The sequence below is a fragment of the Homo sapiens genome, chromosome 18 (assembly GCF_000001405.40).
Source record: "Homo sapiens chromosome 18, GRCh38.p14 Primary Assembly".
NCBI lineage: Eukaryota > Metazoa > Chordata > Mammalia > Primates > Hominidae > Homo > Homo sapiens.
Window position 1 is genome coordinate 446,049 of NC_000018.10, and position 24,802 is coordinate 470,850.

Sequence of the window (24,802 nt, forward strand, 5' to 3'; positions counted from 1 at the left end):
ACCCATGTTGCAGCATGTACAAATACTGCCTTTTTTATGACTAATACTCCACTGTATGTATATTCTACATTTTATTTATCATTTACCAGTTGGTAGACATTTGGGTTGCTTTCACTTTTTCACTCTTATGAATAATGCTGTTATGAACATTGATGTACAAGTTTTTATGTGGATATGTTTTAATTTCTCCTTGGTGTATATATATATGTGTGTGTGTGTGCACGTGTGCATATGTACATACGTACATACACACACACAAACACACACCCCTAAGAGTGAAACTGCTGGGTCATATGAAAATTTTATACTCAATTTTGAGGAACTGCCAGATTGTTATGATATTTAACTTTTTACTATAAAAATCATCTTTGGGCCAGGCGCAGTGTCTCATACCTGTAATCCCAGCACTTTGGGAGGCCAAAGCAGGAGGATTACTTGAGCCCAGAAGTTCAAGACCAGCCTGGGCAACATAGCAAGACCCTATCTCTGTAAAAAAAAAAAAAAAATTTTTTTTTTTTTTTGTTTAAGTAGCCAGGCATGGGAGCACACACCTGGGAGGCTGAGGTGGGAGAATTGCTCGAGCCCAGGAGGTTGAGGACCTTCCAAAGTTTTAGCACTATTTGTATAAAATAGTTTACTAATTTCAAATTATTGTCTTATTAAAACAAGTCCAGTTGATCTTACTGTACAATTAGCATTTTCTCAGCCTTTCATATTTATAACTGAGCACCCCTAAAAACAAAAAGGCATGTATTTCATTCCCATTTTCCATCTGCCTTCTCCCTAAATCATCCTGAATCATTCTATCCATTTATCTTCAGAATTTAAAGGTCCTGAGGCACATAAATACATCAACAGGCTTTTGAAAAAATTCTATGTTCAACTCTTAACAGTTTACCTAGAGTGGTCAGTACCACCTGAACAGTTATCCTTGATCATTTATAGTGTTTATCTTTCCACGTCCAAGAGGATGGCTGTTTAAGGGCTCCTCTGGCTCCTGTGCTTGGAGGGAGGGACTTCACCATGGGAATTACATGGCCTTTAGGTCAGATAGTCACACGTGGAATCTCTCCCTATGAAAGCCTCTTCACACTATGCAGATGACACATACATTCAGGCTTTACTTGGCTTACAGCCCTTTGTTAACCAACAAAAATAGTATCTTCCAGTAAACTCCCTTTTCTACACACAATTCAGGTCATCTATGATTATGCCATCTAAGAGATACTGTGTCAGTGGCACCTTCCCGCATGGGAAGAGATCTTGCTTCTTGAGCAGGATATGACTTCCTCAGAGGCAATTGGACATCCCTTCCACTTCCCCTGTGGCAGCATGAACTTCCTCTGTTTCTCAAGGAGGTAGAGGGAGAGGGGAGCAGCCTGCCACTTCTGGAAATTCACCCACAGCTCTTGCCTGGCGTGCTGAGCAGAGGCCACCCAGTCGGGCTTTGCAAATAGAATTTGACTCCCATGCCAGACCAAGTGAAACAGATCCACCATACAGGCACTCCAGGAAAAACAGCAATCCATAACCTGTGTGTGCTGAGAATCTAGTACATTGCTCTTTATGAGCCACTGTAAAAAGCGGGATAGGATAATCCCAGTTTCTCCTTCTGTAAAATTCACCTCTCCACATATACTTGACAACATTACAGGGAGACACAGTTTCCAGAGCTTAGATACTTTGCTAATATGTAGTAAACATAAAGGTAAAACCATTAAATTGCAAGTCCTGTCCTCTCTGATTTTACTAAGCATAAAGCTATTGATCACTTTTTGTCCCCTACAGCAAGAATATATCAAGAATATAATCATATCAGGAGAAAAACTACAATCTTCATCTTTGGTAGCGGTCAATCACTTTCAGAATTCTTTTCAAAAACAGCCAGCAGTCAAATTAAATTGTAATTTGGGTTAGGGGTGGGATGGAGGAGAGAATCTGACTTTTGGGCACAGTGTGTGTGAAAATACGTATCCAAAAAGTTCAATGGGAAAATGTTGTCTCCCTGTGACTGAAAAAAAATAATTGTGCTGCTTTCAAATACCCAAGTGGTACCACAAAGTTTGTCTTTCTCTAAAGCCTGTCTGTATCAGTGCCTTTGTGTCTCTCTTGAAAATATCACTTTTTGTAGTAATCTTCTTTTTTAACCACTTTGTCATCATCGTGGGATAAACAGAGTAGACTTTCCAAAATGAATCAGGGTGGTTGGGGTTGAATAGATAAAACATGACTCTGGCAAACGAGCGTTCGCTAAAGTCTGATCCTGTAATCTTTGTGCTGGCAGAACACCACTGTAGTAAACTTGGTTTGGCAAACCCTGTATAAAAACAGGACCCTTGACTTAAGATACAGTGTAAACATGTTGACTTCCTAAAACCCTCAATGGGTATGTGGTGAAGGAAAGCTTAGACCCAGACTCTGTTATATAAAAACAAATTAACTTGAAATGTAATTTTTCTCTACTAAGGCTTTTCATAATATATGAGCAGCCCAACCCCCAAGCCCCTGCCAAACCCATCACAATTATTGTCCAAATTCCCGTGGAGTCCAAAGGGGAGGTGGTATTCAAAAGAAGTAACTGCTGGTGGACTTTGAATAAAATGAGAAGTCTGTGAGGCCAATTAGGTTGTCAGTGGACAAAAATAAGCATAAATTAGAGCAATTAAGTAAATGAAAATGATCAAAAGGAATTTGTGGCAAGAATTTTTTTGAACAGATCCTTTTCTATTATATAGGTACAAAGACCATTTTAAAGAGTTCAAAAGATTTTTAAATTTACTATACTGTACCCAAACCTCATGAAAATAAAGCATACGGAGGAATAAATTCTAGTTTCTTTTAAAAAGTTACTTCAGTTGAAGGAATATTGTACATTTGGTATACTCACAAATATTAAAAAGAATTGTTGGCTAGATACACAAAACAAGGTCATTTTTCTATTCCCAAAGAAATGACACCCAGCGGGGAAAGGGGAATAAATACTGTTTGCCAGAATTCATCTTTCATTGAAATCATACTGAAACCTATAAATTATAATAAAATATTATAATTAGAATGTTATAGTAAAATATAACAATAAAAGTGGACTTTAAGGTAGAATACATACCTTTTTAAAACAATGATTATATTTTGGGATAGAATATTATAGAAGACTTTTACTCTCTAAGTTACACATTTCTACAGATTGTTATAGTAAGTGTGTATGATTTCAGTAACCAGGAAAAAAAGAAGTATTAGGTAAAAAAATAACTCTAGTGTGAGAGGTTATCTTTGAGGCTAAGTTGAGAGGAAATCTGCTCCACTTACTGTTGTTTACACTCTAAACTAGTCGCTCTAAAATATAGTTTACACTCTAGTTGGCATCAAAAGTGCCAAAACTTGTTTTGAAGGAGACCTGCAACATAATGGAAACAAACTCTGCAAAGCTGTCAGTTGCTTCATAGGTCACTGTAATGAAGCTTCTGCAGCAAACTCTCTCTCAGGGACTCCCACACTGAACTGCTTTTACAGAAAGAGACTCACTAGGCAGCCACGGAGGTACGCCCTCAGTAAGCTATTCAGCAATAAGGGATGCCTAGCCAGCTGACAGCCTCCAGCACTGCCCCTCTCAATCTGCCACCGTGATTCCTGCCGAGGCCACACAGTCCGGGCGGAGTCTGCTTACAGCCAATGACTGATCATGGCAGGGACACGAGAGCCAGGTCACTTCTGCCCTCATGGGGCCCTTCTGACAGGCAATCTCTGCTCCCGGGCACCCATGTACCTGGCTGAGACTTTCTCAGAGCTGCACTGCAGTCTGAGATTCTTCATATCCAACTCTCCTTTTTACCTCCTCTCTTTTAAAAGGTGTTGGACCTGTGTCATCATAATTTTGTTACTGACAGTAATAACATTATTTAAAAAACAGCTTCCATTGGGATATTTCTTATCATTTTTAAACCTTTTCAGTTATATAATTTCATTTTGTCAGTAAATCATTTATTAGTAGAATATTTAGTGAAGAAATTAGGCATAGATTGCCTTCACTTGCATTAGTGGACATTTAAGTTACATGAAGGGAAAACACTGATACACAACAAAGTTACTGATGAAAACACAAGGACTTTCTTTTTTAAAACTCTCTCGGCTTCCATAACACCACACTCTTTTGGTTCTCCTTCCAGCTCTCGGAAAATGTCTTTTCCGCCTATTTCACTGGGTCATTGGTAAGGTTTGGGATCTGTGTCTCCGCCAAATCTCATGTCGATTTGTAATCCCCAATGTTGAGGGGGGGCCTGCTGGGAGGAGTGACTGGATCATAAGGGCAGAGCTCTCATGGATGGTTTAGCACTAACCCTCTTTGGCACTGTATTGTGAGTGAGTTCTTCTGAGATCTGGTGGTTTACAAGTGTGTGGCATCTCCCCCACCTTCCTCCTGCTCTGGCCATTAAGATGTGCCTGCTTCCCCTTCACCTTCTACCATGATTTTAAGTTTCCTGAGACTTCCCTAGAAGAAGCTGCTATGCTTCCTGTACAGCCTGCAGAACTGTGAGCCAATTAAACCTCTTTTCTTTATAAATTACCTAGTCTCAGGTATTTCTTTATAGTAGTGCAAGAACTAATACAGAAAATTGGTACTGAGGTGTAGGGCATTGCTACAAAGATATCTGAAAATATCAAAGTAGCTTTGGAACTGGGTAATGGGCAGAGGTTGGAGGAGTGTGGAGGGCTCAGAAGAAGACAGCAAGATGAAGGACAATTTGGAACTTCCTATAGACTTGTTAAATCGTTGTGACCAAAATGCTGATAGTGATGTGGACAGTGAAGGCCAGGCTGAGGAGGTCTCAGATGCAAATAAGGAATTTATTGGGAACTGGAGTAAAGGCCACTTTTTCCATGCTTTAGCAAAGAGTCTGGCCACACTGTGCCCCTGCTTTAGGGATCTGTAGAACTTTGCACTTAAGAGTGATGATTTAGGGTATCTGGTGGAAGAAACTACTAAGCAGCAAAACATTCAAGATGTGGCTTGGTTGCTTCTAACAGCCTATGTTCATATGCGTGAGCATATGAATGAACATACACACCTCCATACACCTCTTTCAAGTAGGCATGCCCCAGGGCTCTGTCCTTGACTCCTGCTCCTGCCTCCTGCCTGCTCCCTGTCAGTGATCACATCCATTCTCATGGTTTTCACTCTCACATATGTTATGACCATTTCCCCTCCTATGAACTTCAGATTCACATCTTACTGACTGCTGGACGTTTCCACCTAAATGACCTGAAATTAGAGCTTATATTTAAAAGGGAAGCGGAGCCCAAAAGTTTGGAAAATTTGGGGTATCTGGTGGAAGAAACTTCAAAGCAGCAAAGCATTTATGATGTGGCCTGGCTGCTTCTAACAACCTATATTCATATGCATGAGCAAAGAAATGATCTGAGGCCAGGCGCGGTGGCTCATACCTGTAATCCCAGCACTTTGGGAGGCCGAGGTGGGTGGATCACAAGGTCAGGAGTTCAAGACCAGCCTGGATGATATGATAAAACCCCGTCTCTACTAAAAAATACAAAAATTAGCCAGGAGTGGTGGCAGGTGGCTGTAGTCCCAGCTACTCAGGAGGTTGAGGCAGGAGAATTGCTGGAACCTGGGAGGCGGAGGTTGCAGTGAGTCGAGATCACGCCACTGCACTCCAGCCTGGACAACAAAGCGAGACTCCATCTCAAAAAAAAAAAGAAATGACCTGAAATTGAAACTTATATTTAAAAGGGAAGCAGAGTGTAAAAGTTTGGAAAATTTGCAGCCTGGCCATGTGGTAGAAAAGAAAAGACCATTTCCAGGGGGAGGAAATCAAGGTGCCTACAGAAATTCACGTAAGTAAAGAGGAGCCAAGTATTATTAATAATATCCAAAATAATGGGGAGAAGGCCTGGAAGGCATTTCAGAGAACTTTGTGGCACTTCATCACATACAGCCTTAAACTCTTCTCTATTTTTTAAAGATGAAGCCTTTTCTCATACCTAGATGGTAACTTGCTCGAGAAAAAGAATAGCGTCACATATCTTTAAATGCCCAACTATGCGTGATCTAGTGTTAAGCAGAATAGATATTGTTGAGTGAATAAATTTCATTGGCATCAATGATCACTCACATACACCGTGTTGGAAAAAAACTTGAATTGTGCACCTTGTGCTCAATATATGATTTAGATTAAGAGCTTGGGTTCTGAAAGCAAATGTGGTTTCAAACTTCTACCATCTATGGGCCTATAACTTTGGGCAATTTATACAATCTCCTTAAGCCTCAGTTTCCTCACTGATAAAATGGGATACTTTCTTATAGCGCTATAGTAAGAATTAATTGAGATGAAACGGGGAGTACAGCACAGTGCCTGGCATATGGTAAGCTCTCACTAAATGGTGGCTATATAATGATCGCTGTTGATTCTTTTAAGGGCTTTGGTTGCTGCTTCTAGGAACCCCCTCTTCAGCAGAAGCATCTTCCTCCGCCTCACAACCACCACTATCAAAGAGCATTTGGTTAAGAACCTTGGAAGAAATCCTCTCATTAGCTGTGTGCTTCCAAGTGTTGGCTCTGGCAGGATTCTGTGGGAGGACGAAAGATCAGCTGCTATTACCCCAACAAAACCATAACTCTTTCCAATCAAAGCCAGGACCCAAAGATGGGCTCTCCAGGACTGACTTTCAGATTTATTTTTTAAGTTACTGTGTTCTGCCAATTTGTGTTGTATTTCTTTTCCACAGAACTTCACATCTGTTCTTCCTGCCACACAAGTGCCTATGAGCTTTGGCCACAGGTGCTTCCAAGTGGAGCACAGGGCAGCTAAGGAGGTGGGAAAGAATGCTGTGATTCTGTCCCACTGAAATAGCACCACTCAGGGGTCCTCCCCCATGGGAATTGGAAGTTAATATTTTACAAGTTGAAAGAATGTAACCAAAAGACATCATCCTAAAAACCAGCAGGAAACCAGAGTCATCTTTTATTACACACTGCCAAGTCCATCTTCTGATACACAGGAGAACTTCTGAACAACAAAGAGAGGTCTCTGGGGTTTGGTGGTTTATTTTGCTTCTTTCTCCACCCCAGTCCAACTTCCCCTCTTAAGATGTGTCAGTGAACTTAGCAAGCAAGAATTCTAAATTAGCATCGTATGATCAGTGTCACTGGCTTGTTCTGGAGATCACCAAAGATAGGAACGTGCTAGGAGACACAAGGACAAGAGGCACTCCTGGCCAGGTTGGGGATTTCTAGAATTTAAGAATTAATCAAGAAAGAAATGAGAGGGAGAAGGAAGAGAGAAGAGAAACTGGAAAATGAGAAGGATGAGGAAGGAGGAGGAAGAGGAAAATTATCAGCCAGTTTCCCCTGACCAGCATCCCCACCCTCAGCTACCCACATGCAGAGATACAGAGAGAGACACAGAGACAGAGACAGAACACAGAGCTGTGTGGTTGGGAGTGAGGGAACCAGACACATAGGATTTGGATTTGTCAGCGCTAAATGCTAAGTTCTCCCTCCTCTTCTCAACTTAAATAATGCCCCAGGGCTCAGTCCTCAGCCCTTATCTTCCCTGTCTATACTCTCTTCTTCTGTGGTCTCATCCAGTCCCTGGGCTCTATGCTAAAGACTCCTAATTTTTATGTGCAGCCACAACTTCTCGACTCAGATCCAGACTCATGCAATTACGCTCCACTGAATGTATAATAAGCATCGCAAACTTGACATAATAAAGACAAAATTCAAAATCTGCTCCTCCCTTCAATAAATGTACCCCTGTTCAGCAAGATGCTTAGCTCAAGCACCTAAAAGTCACCCTTAATCTCACTCTTTCCCTGATAGCCACATCAGCAAGCCTGGTCAGCTCTGCCTCTAACATACATCCCAAATCTTATCACTTCTCAGCATCTCCAGGACCAGTGTTCTAATCAAAGACACCATCACCTCTGATTTAGTCTAGAGGCACAACCTCCTACAGATCTCCCTGCTTCCGCACTTCAGCAGTCAGAGTGGGTTATGTTATGAAACATATCCGTTCTCTAGTTGAGCCCTCTGAAGGCTTTCCATAGACTCCAAAGCCCTCCCCATGGGCCCCCTGGTCTCAACATATTCTAGCCCTATTTCTTGACGTCATCTCCTCCATCTCCCCGCCACTCTATTGTAGCTACAGCTGGCTTAGTTCTATTCCTAGAACATTCCATGCTGTTTCCACCTGAGGGACTTTTTACTTCCCACACACCATGAGGCTACGATGCGCTTCCCAAATCACAGCCTCCCTCACTCTGTTCTTGTTCCCACTCCCACATGACCTCCTCCCAGAGGCCTTTCCTAACCACCCTATCTAACACAGCCACTCATCAGCCGGGCATGGTGGCTCACACCTGTAATCCCAGCTCTTTGGGAGGCCAAGGCAGGTGAATCACCTGAGGTCAGGAGTTCAAGACCAGCCTGGCCAACATGGTGAAACTCCATCTCTACTAAAAATACAAAAATTAGCTGGATGTGGTGGCAGGCGCCTGTAATTCCCACTACTTGGGAGGCTGAGGCAGGAGAATCACTTGAACCCAGGTGGTGGAGGTTGCAGTGAGCCGAGATCACGTCATTGCACTCCAGCCTGGGAGATAAAAGTGAGACTCTGTCTCCAAAAAAATAAATAAAACAGAATAGCCACTCCTCTCTATTGCTCCCTTGTCCTTGTCCTCTCCCTAGCATTTATCACTATTTGAATGACGGTTTTCGATTAGTTTGTTACCTGTCTTCTCATCTGCCATGAGGGCAGGTCTTTTCTGTCTCATTCTACAACTATTTCCAGAGCCTAAAACAGAGTCTGGCATATGACAGATACTCAATAAATAGCTGAACAAATAAATGTTGAGCCATTTGGACTGGCTAGAAAGGGCTTCCTATACTCAGAATTTTGAGTTTTATTTTCAATGAAAGACACATGTTGACAAAATCATACTTGACGATCACAGATGCTTCTGATTTTACTCCTGCCAGAAACATTCCCATCCCCTCACCAGTAGAGCCACCTTTATTAGCACAAACCCACAGCATCCTTCAAGAAGGCCAGAGAGAAACAAGGCTAAAGATCACTGCTTCCCGCTCCATGGCCGCATTGTGGCTAAGCGGAAAGTTACACTGGGAGATAAATAGAAATGAAAGGCATTGTGATGCTATAATGTGGTAAAAACAGCACAGCATACTTTATTTATTTTTGTTTTGTTTTATTTTACGCTTTTTTTTTTTTTTTTTGAGACAGAGTTTCACTCTGTCACCCAGGCTGGAGTGCAGTGGCACAATCTCAGCTCACTGTAAGCTCCGCCTCCCGGGTTCATGCCATTCTCCTGCCTCAACCTCCTGAGTAGCTGGGACTACAGGTGCCCGCCACCATGCCTGGCTAATTTTTTGTATTTTTTAGTAGAGACGGGGTTTCACCATGTTAGCCAGTGTTTTACTTTAAGTTCTGGGATACATGTGCAGAATGTACAGGTTTGTTACATAGGTATACATGTGCCATGGTGGTTTGCTGCACCCATCAACCCATCATCTAGGTTTTAGGCCCTGCATGCATTAGGTATTTGTCCTAATGCTCCCCCTCCCTTTGCCCCCCCCTCCCCTGACAGGCCTGGGTGTGTGACATTCCCCTCCCTGTGTCCATGTGTTCTCATTGTTCAACTCCCACTTATGAGTGAGAACATGCAGTGTTTGGTTTTCTGTTCCTGTGTTAGTTTGCTGAGAATGATGGCTTCCAGCTTCGTCCATGTCCCTGCAAAGACATGATCTCATTCTTTTTTACGGCTGCATAGTATTCTGTGGTGTATATGTGTCACGTTTTCTTTGCCCATTTGCACATTTTCTTTGCCCATTCATGGGCATTTGGGTTGTAAATAGTTCTTTGCTATTGTAAATAGTGCTCAGCACAGCACACTTTAACTGACACAATAGTTAAGTGTATCAAGCACAACCCAGGCAGGGTATGAAATCAGACCACGTCAGCCCTCAGGTGGTAGGACAAAGCACGTGGTGGGAGGCTGGCTGGTTTAAGAGGGTCTTGCAGTACCTTCTATGGAGCATTTTACTACTTTTCTGAATTGATCTTAGGCAAAGAATGGAGAAAAACATTTGACTTCCACCTTTATCCTGTCTCACAGAGGTAGGCATGACAGCATTAAAACCCAACAGGCACACTGTAGCTACTATGCCCAGTCTGAGTTCTCAATGAAGACCAAAAATAGTTCTTGGTGCTATGCTGTCTCTAGTTCCACAACCTTCATACAAAACACAAACCCCTCGCTGGTTTAAGAGTGCCAGAAAGCACTGGGGAGTTAGGGCCAATCATGTGCCGTGAGCAACTTGTACTCATAAACCAGGCCCACACAGATGAGACGCTTTACACAAGGAGGGAAAGGCCGCCCAGAAACATCCTCTGGAGAAATACTCAGTTGGCCGGGCTCTGCCTCCAGTGCCGGAACAGCAGGATGACTTCTGCGTTACCGACGATCTGTTCACCACACTTCACTAGAGCCTTCCCACACCTCCGCTTAGGAAGGTCACAAACCCATTTGGGTTAAATGCTCTTGCAGCTTACTGGAAACCCACTGGCAGCTGATGTTGTGTTTTGAGAATAAACGATGTAACCTGTAAGATTTCCAGAAGGCGTATTTTCTTCTCCAACAAAGAGCAGCCCGCTGACTGAGCTGTGGACCGCAAGCAGTGGCAGCCCCTTGGCTGCTCGCTATTTTGAGTCTGGAGAGATTGTTCACGAGGAGCACAGGCTGTTTGGCAACATCAGAGCTCTACCCAGAAAGCAAAAACAAAATCCGGGTGGTAAGGAAGAGCCAGGCAGGAATGCCTATATACCTGAGGACCCTGAGCCCCGTACTCTGTCTCCTTGGTGAAGTGCCAGCCCTCCCACTTCTCGGCTCGCAGGTCTTAAAGACAGTATTTTACTGCTTTTCCGCAGCATTTTCACGGCATTTTGTTAGGATGGTGGTTTGTTCACATTCCCGAGGGTTTTCTCTTGGCAAGGATCAGTGCAGCCAGGTAACTGCTCTTCCTCTTAATTAATCTTAATTAGATTACATGTAACAGCATGGCTGCACAGTGAGGCCTGCCGATCTGCTGACAAGGAGCAGCTTACCCTGTGAACGAACAGGCCTGACTGGGATTATGGACGCGAGCCGTGTAAATGGGAACGGAGCCCCCTAAGCCAACAGTCCTCGGCCTGCTGACACAGCTGCACAGAGTACCCAGGCACTGCAGCGCCGAAGGAGATTCAGTTACAGTGAAGAAATCATAACAAAGACAGGAAACAGATCAGCACACTCTGGATTTAACACCCTCCCTGGGGAGCTCTGCTGATTTCTAGGCTGCAGATGTTTTTAACCCTGCCTTGAAGAATGTCCATGTCACATGCTGGAGCTGATGAAGGCAAGTACAGTATTGAAGCAAAGCACACATATCCCAAAAGTGGACCCAAATCATGTTGATTAGAGCTTCCCCCATCTCTGCGAAAAGAGGACACAACTGTTAAAATCTGTAAACGATCTTTTGGTGGAGTTTGATGAGCAGTTGCGAAATGGATGCCCACAAAGCCTGGTGTTTATTTACTTAAAATGAGGTGTAAATGAAGCTCACTAGACTCTTCCATGAAGGGCTTCCTAGTCCCAAGAGTTGCAAAATGTCTCAGCTGTTTCCGACTTTTTGCTCTTTGCAGCACTCTATACCAAGCGGAGTAGAATGAAAACAAGCCTCCTTCATTGCGCATTTTTCAAAGTGACTGCCAACAAAAGCTGGATCCTTGACTGTTTAGTGCTTACGATTGAGGAGACGGCGTATCTTACTGGCAGGATATAGGTAGTTTTCCAACAGTTACAGTAAGTTTGCAGAATTGGAAATTTATATAAGTTCTTCTGAGTTACATAAACATGTCTATGACTGCACAAAGATGTGGTTCGCCAGAAGCACTGCATTTTCTTTGTGGCAAAGGGACTGGCCATACCCTGCCAGAAAAGTTCAGGCAAGAGGAGGACTCTAATGTTAGATAAACCTCAAGTCCAAAAGTTGGAAAAAGAGAAAAACGTTCAGCTCACTTGTGATCTGATTTTGTCCCATTTGCAGTTCTTTTACTGTTTTCCATGAGTATTTTTAAGAATGCTCACAGAGGACCTCATCAGGGACCGGAAACTCTAGCACTCATTTCCTAACATACCCTTGGAGCATCTCACTAAGGACATATTTTTGCTTCTCATGTTAAGAAAGCAAAAGGATCATTTTAACTGCTACTGAATTTAATCCTGTGTTTGAACAGACACAGATCTCTGGTAATTCAGAGCAACTGTCTTTTCCCCAGCTGAGCTTGCTGACTTACCCAGACAACTGAGAACACACGTGGGTGGGCTGAGGAGGGGAGAGGAGAAGTGCACCTGAACGATCCAGGTTGGCCCTCTCCTCTAGCCACAGGCATTGGCAAACTGCTGTTCCTGGTTGTCCAGACCCGTTTTCTGAAGGCAGCCTTCGCTTCTGTGAATCGGTGGCAGCTCAAGACCTAGGAGCTGAGGACCCCCTGATGGGGTAGCTTCTCCCACTACTGGACAGACCACCTGTTCAAAAGCCCCTTGTTATTTTGGACCTCTTCATCTAAACTGTCGTCTTCCAGACCTTAGGATCACAGATTCTGTCTCTATATGATCACTCCTCAAGACTTCTCTCTCCCACGTGAAGCCATTTTCCCCAGTTTCATTTCTGGTCCACCACTGCACCTCGTGAACTTCTCATTTTGCACAGGAGGTACTCAGATAACTTCTTTTTGAGACAGGGTCTTGCTCTGTCACCCAGGCTGAGTGCAGTGGCACGATCATGGTTCATTGCAGCCTTGACCTCCCAGGCTCAAGTGATCTTCCCACCTCAGCCTTTCAAGTAGCTGGGACCACGGACATGCTCCACCATTCCAGGCTAATTTTTTTATTTTCTGTAGAGATGGGGACTGGGGGCTGGGAGAGGTCTCCCTGTGTTGTCCAGGCTGGTCTCGAACTCCTGGACTCAAGCTATCCTCCCTCCTTGGCCTCTTTAGCAGCCGGGATTACATGCATGAGCCACCAGACCTGGCACTCAGATAACTTTTACTTGCTATCTGAAAAACTAGGTAGCTACAGCTGGATCACCCAGACTCTAATGAGGGGTCTGGATTGATTCAGGACAGGATGGCTCTTAGGTACAGGCAGAGAAAATCTCCTTAAGATTTGAAAGATGCCAACAAAACTTACTGTCCAGTCAATGTCAATCTGCCATAAGTCTGGAAGGTCATTTGCTGTGTCTTCTTTGGAGTTAAGCACTGCCCATCAGAAAAGTCTACTTTTGAATGAATGACCACTTGGAAGAGTTAGCATGCACAATGTCTGGCACACAGGTAAGGAATGGATTTATAAGTGACACTGTAAATCAGACAGCTTTCCTCATTGGGACGTATGTAAAACCCGAGTGGAGATATGAGGGGCATTTATGACCATTTTTGTCTACCCTAAAACTCTACTAAAGCCAGGTCCACATCAAGGGGCCCCAGCGCAGCTTTCTTTGCACATCTGGTGCAGCAGGTGCCCTATGCACACCGCAATGCCTGTGTCTAACCCTTCTGCACCTTCCAGAAGCTTCAATGGTGGAAGCAGAGCCAGGGCCAAGACAGAATTTCCTGCCTCTCCCATGCCTCTCAGCTATGAGAGTACAGGAGAGAAATGGATGCTTAGTACCATCTCAAAGGAGATGATTGCTCATACGGTTAACCCTGAAACCAATCTAGGAATCCAACAAAATACATGTGTTCAACACACATATTAGCTAATCAGATTGTTGTCTCTTAATTATCTTGTTTTCCAGTAAACCATCATGACCTCTCAGGACTTCCCAGGGGTACTGCCCTGAGGTTCCTCCTTTAAAATGGCCAAGTGATGAGTGATGACTGATTAGCTTGCCGAATTCTTCACTTAAGAACTCATCAGAGGAAAAAAAAGGAAAAAAGAAAAAAAAAAGAAAATAGACTCGGATATTTTGATCGGGCTGTGAGCTCAAGTAAGCAGCACAGTAAAACAGTAAGAACGTTTTTGACAAGAGACTTCATTCAAACATACGTGGAGTCCCCCTGCTGTCGGCCAAGAATAAAATATGGGCCAGCTCGTACCTAAATTTTATTCTTCTTCCGTGGTCATTCGGAATGGGCCACAAGAAAGACCAGAATTCTTCATTTACTACACGCCTAAGGTTTTATGGACTTTGTGTCACCTTTTGAATCCCCCATCCCCAGCCCAAGTTTCATTTTACGCATCAGTGAAAGCCTCAGCCAAGGGAAGAGGTTTTCTTCCCCGTGGAGTAGAATGCAGGAATTTATCTGTCTTAAGGTCTTTAGTCAAGCTAAATTATGTTACCTGAGTATGCTGCCAAAATACAGGTCTGTTCTCTGTTTTGAATCATGATATCACTAGTAGTAACCTCATGTCCAGACATTTGAGATTAAAAACACCAGTACATTGCGTGTGTTTTACAAAAGACAGTTGCTAAGTATGTTATGCCTTCAATATAGCTTTCCTGACAACCTCAACATTGACCTGCAACAAAAAGGCACGTGAGAAGCCCAGGGCCAACTCTCTAGAATTAAGTAATATTCACACATTAGCTGAAGGATGACCCAGTCACCAACCTCCCCCAACAGTCTGCTATGTGCATCCTCTCTTCTTTCCTTTTTGGGTCTGCAGTGTCTACCGGTCACTCTCCTGGGTTATACAACATAGATGGGCATTATCTCAGGCCAGCCCTTATTAGGTGCACATATCACTCGGAGGGTCAGAGAAGCGCCGTATCCAATTATCACAGGACTTTGCTTTAATGTCTTCATGGTCACGTTTCTATTTGTGTGATGAGCTAACTTTGAATGAAGGTTGGTTGGTTGGTCAGTCAAGGCTCACTGCTTAAAGCTGACTGGCATGTCTTTGACTCACCTTCTCACTCAAGGAACAAATGGATTCCTGGTCTTTCTGCAGTGATGAAAATAATTGCTAATAATCGGCTGAGTTTACCCAAAGGATGTTTAGACTGATTAATTTTATTTTTCCAGTACTTCAAAAAACATGCCTTGAAAATCATCTATAACAGCATTGTCCAATAGAAATATAATGCAAGCCACATGTGTAATTTAAATTTTTTCTAGTAGCAATATTAAAAGGTAAAAGGAAACAGGTGAAATGATTTTTAATAATATATTTTATTTAACCCAATAGACACCAAACACTATTATCTCAACATATAATCAACACAAAATTATTATGAGAGGTTTTCTTTTTTAAAATTTAAAAATTTTAATTTTTATCTTTTAGAGACTGGGTCTTGCTCTGTCGCTCAGGCTGGAAGGCAGTGGCCTGATCATAGCTCACTGCAGCCTCAAACTCCTGGGCTCAAGCAGTCCTCCTGCCTCAGCCTCCTGAGTAGACAGGACCACAGGCATACACCACCATGTCCAGCTAATTTTTTAATTTTTTAATTGAGATGGGATTTCACTATGTTGCCCACACTGGTCTTGAATTCCTGAACTTGAGCAATTCTCCTGCCTTGGCCTACTAAAGTACTAGGATTACAGATGTGAGACACTGTACCCGGCTAAGAGATTTTTTTTTTCTTTCATCTTGTCTTCCAACTTCAGGGTGGAGTTGAGACTTGCTGCATATCTCAATTTCAAGTAGCCACATTTTCGAGTACTCAGTAGCCACATGCAGCCTGTGACTACCATACTAGCAAGCTCAGGTACAGCACTGCCCTGTACTCATATAACAGGAACTTAGGGAAGGTGGAAGAATAAGAATGTTATCCAGGCTACATGGTAGCAAACCAAAGTGTATTGAGATGTACAGATAATGAGATGGAAATGAATGACGTCATATCTAAAACCACTCTTAGGTCATTCCAATTCTATCTCTTTTTAGTTAATACACATCATCCCAGTACTACAGCAAAATAATTCAAGCTGGTCTTTTTCCCTTTTTTGGTGAAGGGAATGAGGATACTTAATAATGAAGTGGTGGAACCACTTTGGGATACACTCAGGCAGTTCCTCCAAAGATTAAACACAGAGTTATCATGTGCCTCAGCAATTCCGCTCCTAGGTATATACCCAAGAGAATTAAAAACACAAGCCCACACAAAAGTTCACAGCAGCATTATTTATAATAGCCACAAAGTAGAAACTACCCAAATGCCTACCAATTGATGAAAATGGATAAGTAAAATGTGGTCCGTCCATGTCACGGAATATTATTCCGGATTTTTAAAAAATGAGGTACTGCTACATGCCACAACATGGATGAAACTTGAAGACATAAGCCAGACACAAAAGACAATATATTATGTGATTCCAGTGATATGAAACGTTCAGCACAGGCAAATCCATAGAACCAGAAAGTAGCTTAGTGGTGGCTGAGGATGGAAGGGTGAAAGGGAGTTGGAGGGAAATGAAAAGTGACTGCTAATGGATACAAGGGTTCTTTCTGGATGGATGAAAATGTTCTAAATTGATGGTGGTAGTTGCACACCTCTGGATTTGCAAAAAACTACTGAACTGGTACACCTTAAATGGGTGAATTTTATGATACATAAATTATATCTCTATAAAGCTGTTATTAAAAATAACGGAGGAGGACTCCCACCTGGCCTGTGAGGTCACCCCACACCACATGCATTTGATCAGGCTTGCCATTTTATCATGAGGTTGAGCATGTGACCACATGGATATGGATTTATAAGCATTCTACCAAGACAGACAATTGTTGAAATGTTGAAGCCTATACGTTTCTTTTACTTGAAAAAGGCAAAGTAGGGTAGCCCCAGTTTAATTTCTCCCCAGCTGGAGTTTATTAAGAAACATAAAGTGTAATAGCTCAGATTCAAGCCTTCCTCAGCAACAATGGAAGAACAAGGTTTTCTGATAGCTGTTCTCTCAGGAGAAGCGGGGGAGTCAGGGAGAGGGTGGCAGGTTCTGAAGAAGCCCAGGCTGAAACCGAGAGGGTTCACTTGATCCTGCCATTCCCACTGGCCTCCTCCTTAGGCTTCGTACCCAGAAAAAGCTTCCAACCTCTGCAGGCTTTCAGCATCAGCCCCTCTAGAAAGTGATTTACTTACCCTTGGCAAAGTAGTCATTGATTTTCATTTCATTTCATACTACCTTCATAATGTTTTGTTTTAGCCTTGGTTTATTGTTTCATTTTCCCCCCAGTCATAAATGTCTCCATTATTATACTGGCACACGGGTGAAGCCATAGTTGCTTAGTAATAAGTGCTTAGCATCTGTACCCAACTATAAATTGTTGCATTTGGCCAGAACCAACTAATTCAGAAGATCTATATCAATTAAAATCAAGAAAGTAATAAACCACACACACACAGAGAGAAAAATAATTAGTTGCTTAATCATCTCAATGCAATGAAAGGTGGCAGCATGTGTCGTAAACATGAGTGTGGGGATTCCTGTGGGGGCTGGGAGTTCGCTGAGACTGCACAGCGGGGGCTCGGCTCTGTTCTCTCCCCACCTGACCCTTCGGATCTCAGTGGACAGATGCTATCAGTTACACAGTCAGAGCCAGCGACATCTCGGAGTCACAGATAAAAGTGTCTTGTCTTTCGTATCTTTCTTCTCTCTCACTTCATTCCCGTTGTCACACGTCCATCACCAGCTTATTCACCGGTGACAGCCACAGCCCTCTTCCCCTAGCCCCCAATTTCCACTTTCTCTTCTTTCACATAAAACCATGTAGTAAATTAGACTGCTCCGTGAAAAGGCTGTCAGAGACCAGGCATTTTAATCAACTCAAGTTGAAATTCTTTTGCCTTGTTTTCTAGCTCACTAGCCTGGCCCATTCCCTGCACCTGCACCCTATGCCCTACAGCTCCACCCCCAGCCCGAGCTCCAGGAAGGAAGGTTTTTGACTGGTTCCCTTTCTTGGTTCTTTCTCTCCATCCCCACCCACACCCTGAGCTAATCCCTGCCTGTCCGCGTGTGCTCACTAGAGGCCCGCACTGCTGCTGCGCTTCTCCTTTTCCTTTCCCAATTTCCTCTTGTCTGGACTCATCTTTACCACAAACCTCCACGGATACACTAACTTGTATTATCTGCTATTGTTCCATGCGAGTCACTTTTGTCCTCTTAACTTGGCTGTAGCAACCTTGAGAGCAGAAGTCATGAGTCACTATTCTGCAGCCTCCTCAGCATCCCTAATAAACACAGCATCTCGCGACAGTCTATCACTTAACAATGGATCCCAGAGCTGGGTGTATGTATATGTGCTTCCCTCCTTTGAATGGGCCGCAGTCCATTTCCCCATGGGACAGGCACTAATGCTCCTCGTTGCTACTGGTGTACCTTCATTCTGTTTCCTCAGCCTTAAGGCACTTTCTCCCACTGACTGTCTGGGGACTTCCTCATTTTAATGCCTCTCCCTTAAACAGTCATCCCTCTTTACTGCTTTCTCTGAATCACTGGTTCCCCCCACTTTCTGCAGAATTAATAACTTCAGAATCTGGCTCCTCTATCCTCTATTTCCTTTCAAGCATTTCTCAAACTACAGTAGAGATACGTTGATCTTTTTTCTCCCCGGCTAGACTGGGAGCACCATCAATACTGGTGCTATGTCTTAGCAATTCAATCCCAGGGTCCAGCATCAGGGCCAGAATACAACAGGTACACAACATATACTGTTCAATCTCATCCAACGAACTCTCATTGTAAGGCCCAAGACTCAGGCAAATGAAAAGAACTCATTCCTTATTCCTATTGAGAGTTAGCAGGTTCACAGAACTTGGTTGGGGAAGCCCAGTGGGGTGTGCTCAGCACCAAGGCTGGGGGTGACACACTCTTGGGCTCTCCAAAGCTCAGGTTCTAGACGCTCCCATCACACTGGGGACCTCTACTTACAGGAAGTTTCTCCTGGGATCACATTCTCCCTCAAGCTTTTTTAAAGTTGACCCCTTCTTACCTGCTTTCTGGGAAGAAAGGGGAGATGGGAACAGACTTAAACAAAATTGTTAATTATGTTTTGTTTTGTTTTTGAGAAAGGGTGTCACTCTCACCCAGACTGGAGTGCAGTGGTGGATCTCAGCTCACTGCAACCTCTGCCTCCCAGGTTCAAGCAATTCTCGTGCCCCAGCCTCCCGAGTAGCTGGGATTACAGGCATGCACCACCACACCTGGATAATTTTTGTATTTTTAGTAGAGACAGGGTTTCACAATGTTGGCCAGGCTGGTCTCAGACTCCTGACCTCAAGTGATCCGCCCACCCTGACTCCCAAAGTGTTGGGATTACAGGCATGAGCCACTGCACCCAGCCAAAATTATTATGAAAAGTTTGTGTTTCACATTCTCCTTTCTGAGTTTCTGCCCCATCACTTGAAATTTTTATTTCCCAGTCTCAGGTGCTAAGATCCAAAGTTCCTTGAACCTTTCATCTCTCTGAAATACAAATCTCTTAAAAATAATTCACTGATTTCAGTTTGATTTTACAGGAAGAAAGTAACCTGATTAAATAATCCACCTTAAAGTACAGGTGACTATTAGTAACCATCATCATTTCTAAAATTTCCTAGTGTATTTATACTTCAAAAGAGGCCTATTATCTTAATTAATTTTAAGCAAAAAATAAAATAAATTCAAGCAAGGGTACTATTTTGAAGCAAAAGGACCTTCCCAGTCTTTCTAAAGGAGTAAATAGTTACCTATGGCCGGGCACAGTGGCTCACACCTGTAATCCCAGCACTTTGGGAGGCTGAAGCAGGTGGATCACTTGAGGTCAGGAATTCGAGACCAGCCTGGGCAACATGGCAAAACCCAGTCTCTACCAAAAAATATAAACATTAGCCGGGCGTGGGGGCACAAACCTGTAGTCCCAGCCACTTGGGCGGCAGGAGAATTGCTTGAACCCAGGAGGTGGAGGTTGCAGCAAGCACAGATTGCACCATTGTACTCCGGCCTTGGGGACAGAGTGAGACCATGTCTCAAAAAAAATAAAAAATAAAAAACTTAGCTGGGCACAGTGGCAGTTGCCTGTAGTCCCAGCTACTAGGGAGGCTGAGGCAGGAGAATCACTTGAACCCGGGAGGTGGAGGTTGCAGTGAGCTGAGATCGCACCACTGCACTCCAGCCTGGGCGACAGATTGAGACCTTGTCTCAAAAAACAAAAAACAAATAAAAAATTTTTAAAAAATGGTTACATAGACCAACCCCAGTTAGAGACTTCCAGGACCTTCAGAGCAGTTACGTGCTTCCTTCAATCTTTTCCTCCTGACACTAGAAGTTCCGTGGCCCTCCGCCTTCTCCCAACAGCTCCAGTTTGTCTCCTTCCTTTCGCAGACTATCCGTGCTCTGTTTCCTGCTTTGCCTGAATTTCAGCCCGTGTGCTGTGACTTACTGCTTGATTTGGGGTCTAGGCTCTGTCTCCCCAGAATCTAACTATAGAAAATGTTTTTAGCCCACACACAGGCACTTTCAGGGACAGGCTTATTAGATGAGGAGCTTTGGTAGGATTTAAGAAAGCACCTTGAGTGCAAAGCACATTCTAAGCACTCAAACCTGTTACTCTTCCTTTCTCAAATATATGTTGAGCTGAGGAATTGTTCCAGGTACAGTGGTGAACAAAACAGACACCATCTCTGTCCTCATTCAACTTACAATATAACAGGAAAAAAATACAGTTTTTTACAAAGTAAGGAATTATAAGTATGCAAGGAGCTGCTCACTCTTTTATTCCTAAGTCCCTGGCCCTTGAGAACTGAACAAGATGGCCTTATCCCCAACCCCAAAGCCTGCAGAACTTCCTACCGTGTCCAGCCCTGTTTTCCTCCCCTCCCCTATCTCTTCTCTCCTTTAGTACTTCAGGAACTCCAAAATCTTCAGCTCTCCTCAGCTGTGGGTGTACCTATATCCACCCAAGTAGTCAGTAAGGAAAAGAAAAAGACTTTCAATTTATCAGAATACACCCTTTCTAGGTGTTTGCAATTATAAATAGAAAATAAAAAACTCTAATACACTTTCTATTCCTTCTTTCCTTCCTTCCTGCCCTCTTTCCTTCCTTTCTTCCTTCCTTCATTCTAATGCTGACTTCAATTTTCAAAGTGAGGTTAACTATTTCCAAAAAGGCAGAGAATGAGAGAACTGACCTCATGATTTCCCAGCTGGGAAAACGACTCACTTACAAGCTTGTTAAATATATGTGCTCCCACTTTACAGAACCACTCTCTTGGAGGAAGGAAAAAAGCCCCAAGACACAGAGGACCACTGGATACCCTTTTGTGTATATGGATTCTAATACTTGAAAACTAACCAGAAAAGATGAGGGAGTCACAGCTCCCAATGGGCCATCTTCTTAAGAAGGGGCACAGCTAAAGTGATTTTCCTCTGTTGGTAACTGGTGGGTTTATGTTTTTTGTCCAATATGTTTTTCATTAGCATGAGAAATACCAAGAAAAATTTCATATGATAAATGTAAACAGATTAATGAATTGAGAGAAACTGCCAACTGTCTTCAGATTGTTAATGGAAACATTATGCTTTCTATTAAATTTACAGACACCTGCATTTGAATAATTAGCTGCTTTTATGAAGCTTGGAAGGAAAAGAATCTTCCATGTTTGAGTCTAGAGATCTGGAACAGAGTTCGTTCAAAACATGCCTAGAAAATGCTTCAATACTCATAGAGTTATACGAAAACAACTTACAGCCAAATGGAAAACCAACAGTCTTGAGATTACTAAGATTTGTGAACAAAATTAATACAAGTTTTCCATCTGACAATTTTTGCCAACTAAATTTTACATCAGATACCTGGGAAGATAGATCCATAATAAAGATACAAAATATTTATTTTGAATTGTTGGAATAAGGAAGAGTAAAAAATAATATATTTTAAAAATCAGGCCGGGCGCAGTGCCTCACACCTGTAATTCCAGCAATTTGGGAGGCCGAGACAGGTGGATCACGAGGTCAGGAGTTCGAGACCAGCCTGGCCAATATGGTGAAACCCCATCTCCACTAAAAATACAAAAATTATCTGGTTGTGGTGTCATGTGCCTGTAGTCCCAGCTGCTCGGGAGGCTGAGGCAGGAGAATCGCTTAAACCCGGTAGGCGGAGGTTGCAGTGAGCCGAGATCGCACCATTGCACTCCAGCCTGGGCGACAGAGTGAGACTCCGTCTCAAAAAAAAAAAAAAAAATCAAATGCAGTAGCAGAATAGATTCTTGAACCTTGAATCACATTACATAGATGCAAACCCATAACACTGTATAGCCTAAAGAAACCTTTGAAATCATCTACCCTAACCCTTTTATTTTGCAGAAGGGCTTATTTGAGACCCAGAGAGTTTATATCATTTTGCAAAATTCACATAGCTAGTTAATGCATAGCAAAAGAAAGGCTATAATTCTGATCTCCATGCTTCCAATTCAGAAGTCTTTAAATAGCCAAACACACACACACACACAGAGTGTATATTCACATATACATATGAGAGACACAAATGAAATGCTGAACTCATTTTTTTTGGTAAACTTTAATTCCCCATCTTTGTCTTTCTCTCTTAGTAAATAATGAGCATTTATGGAGTACCTTTTAAGTGCCAGGCATTGTGCTAAGCACTCCACTTGCATTAGTTCATCCTCACAATGTCCCTGAAACATAGGTAGTCTTGTTATCCCTCGTTCCATAACAAGAAAATTTAAAGACTGGCGGTGCAAATTTACTTAAGGTTATTTGGGCCCTCTGAGATCTTATTCACGGACTTCACTGTTTATCGGAGGTACATTTTAATCTATCAAGAGTGGAAAAAATAGCAAAGGTTTCTGAACCACATTATTACACTCTTTATGAATTGTGCTTTAAGTGAACATAGCTGCTATTAATCAGCAGAGTGGCTTCACATGGCAGCAGTTTAGTAACAGCTGTGGCCGATGGCGTGCGCAGCACATGGAAGGATGCTGCCTTCCAAACTTCTTTTACGAGTTTATATCAAAACAGATTCTCATACCTCATCCCCAACCTTTTCTGCAGGACAAAGGAAAGGGACTTCATACAAGTTCTCTTCACTTGCACAGACGGAAAGAGGTGGGGGCAGAGGGGCGTTCCCGACCTTATTTGGAAACCATTGAAGCTTTGCCAGTACTGAACCTAGAACACCACCAGACAGAAGGAAGAGAGGGCTCACAGTACATCTGGCACGTAGTGCCCTCTATTGTGCCTGTGGAAATTCTGCGGGTGAGAGAGGAGGCAGTTTGTAGGTTGGCTGATATTTTTCTTTTATGCAAATACACCGCTGTTTGAAAAATCTATTTTTTATTACATGTGAAATTCCCAGAGGCAAAAGGCCACGTCTCTCCTCTTTATTGTCCATGGTGTCCAACACATTATGGATAGGTAGTAAACGTCACATCACTTTGATATGCAGGACTAAGAATGACCCTTTCCCAAGAGTCCTGCTTGCTTCTATTTCTCAACAAGCCTCATGAGGTGCATACATCTCCCAAGAAAAGGGAACTGCTGAAGGCCTGCATCTCTTCCCCAAATTTCCATGAATGTTGCACTCACTTCTTCCCTGGGCTAATGGACTCCCCCGCCCCCAACTGTTTTACTGGTTTTTTACTCACACCTGCAGAATTTATATGTGGATCCCTGACACCCTACTTCCTATCATTTTCAGCACAAAGTGGGAGCTTCTGATTCTACATATACTCTATGACTCTGTTTGGGAAGCCTTTGATGAGGCCTCACTGCCAGCATGGACATCTTTAGGAGAAAATTTTTACTTCCATAAAGATTTTTTTTTTATAACTTTTGTTTTCCAAGAAATTGAAACAAGATGAATTAATAAGTATTGATGTTGGCAAATAAAATGATCAAGTGGGAATTTTGTTTTATCCATCTTTGTACCACAGTTCATGGCATATGGAAGGCATTTGGTGAATGTGTATCAGAATTATAAGTATTCATATTTCCCCTCAATTATTTCCAAAAGCAATTCAATCATAAGACTTCTATGTAAACCATGAGGTGGGACAATCATTATATCTTAATATTTTTTATCAGGCAGGGTGCAATGGCTTATACCAGTAATCCCAACACTTTGGAAGGCCAAGGTAGGTGGATCACTTGAGGCCAGGAAATTTTTTTTTTTTTTTTTTTTTTTTTTTTTGAGACGGAGTCTCGCTCGGTCTCCCAGGCTGGAGTGCAGTGGTGCAATCTTGGTTCACTGCAACCTCCGTCTCCCAGGTTCAAGCAATTCTCCTGCCTCAGCCTCCCAAGCAGCTGGGATGACAGGGGCCCACCACCATGCCCGGCTAATTTTTTTTTTGTTTTTAATAGAGATGGGGTTTCACCATGTTGGCCAGGGTGGTCTCAAACTCCTGACCTCAAGTGATGCACTCCCTTTGGCCTCCCAAAGTGCTGGCATTACAGGTGTGAGCCACCACCCCAGAGGCCAGGAATTTAAGACCAGCCTGGGCAATGTAGCAAGACCCTGTCTCTAAAAAAAAAAAAATTTTTTTTTAATTAACCAGGCATGGTGATATACGCCTGTATTCCTAGCTACTCAGGAGGCTGAGGTGGGAGAATCACCTGAGTCCAGGAGTTCAAGGCTGCAGTGAGCTATGATCATGCCACTGAACTCTAGCTTGAGTGACAGAGTAAGACCTTGTCTCTAAAACAACGAACTAAACATCCAGATGCTTTTAACAAGGGGAACAATATAGTTATTTCTTACATATTTAAACTGCTGTGGAAATACTGATCTTAGG

At 42.9% G+C, this 24,802-nt stretch overlaps 1 protein-coding gene across 2 annotated transcripts in view, besides 1 other annotated feature; it reads right to left on the reverse strand.

The window, feature by feature from the left end:
• The window catches only part of COLEC12 (collectin subfamily member 12), a 183,965-nt gene that overhangs the window by 129,312 nt on the left and 29,851 nt on the right, over window positions 1-24,802 (reverse strand). The gene's annotated exons all lie outside the window — the stretch shown is intronic.
• Window positions 1,101-1,395: a silencer, noted in NCBI's record as "tiled region #14658; HepG2 Repressive non-DNase unmatched - State 24:Quies". NCBI's record gives its function as "represses a minimal TATA promoter and a strong SV40 promoter by Sharpr-MPRA in HepG2 cells {active_cell/tissue: HepG2}" and the evidence as "EXISTENCE:reporter gene assay evidence [ECO:0000049][PMID:27701403]".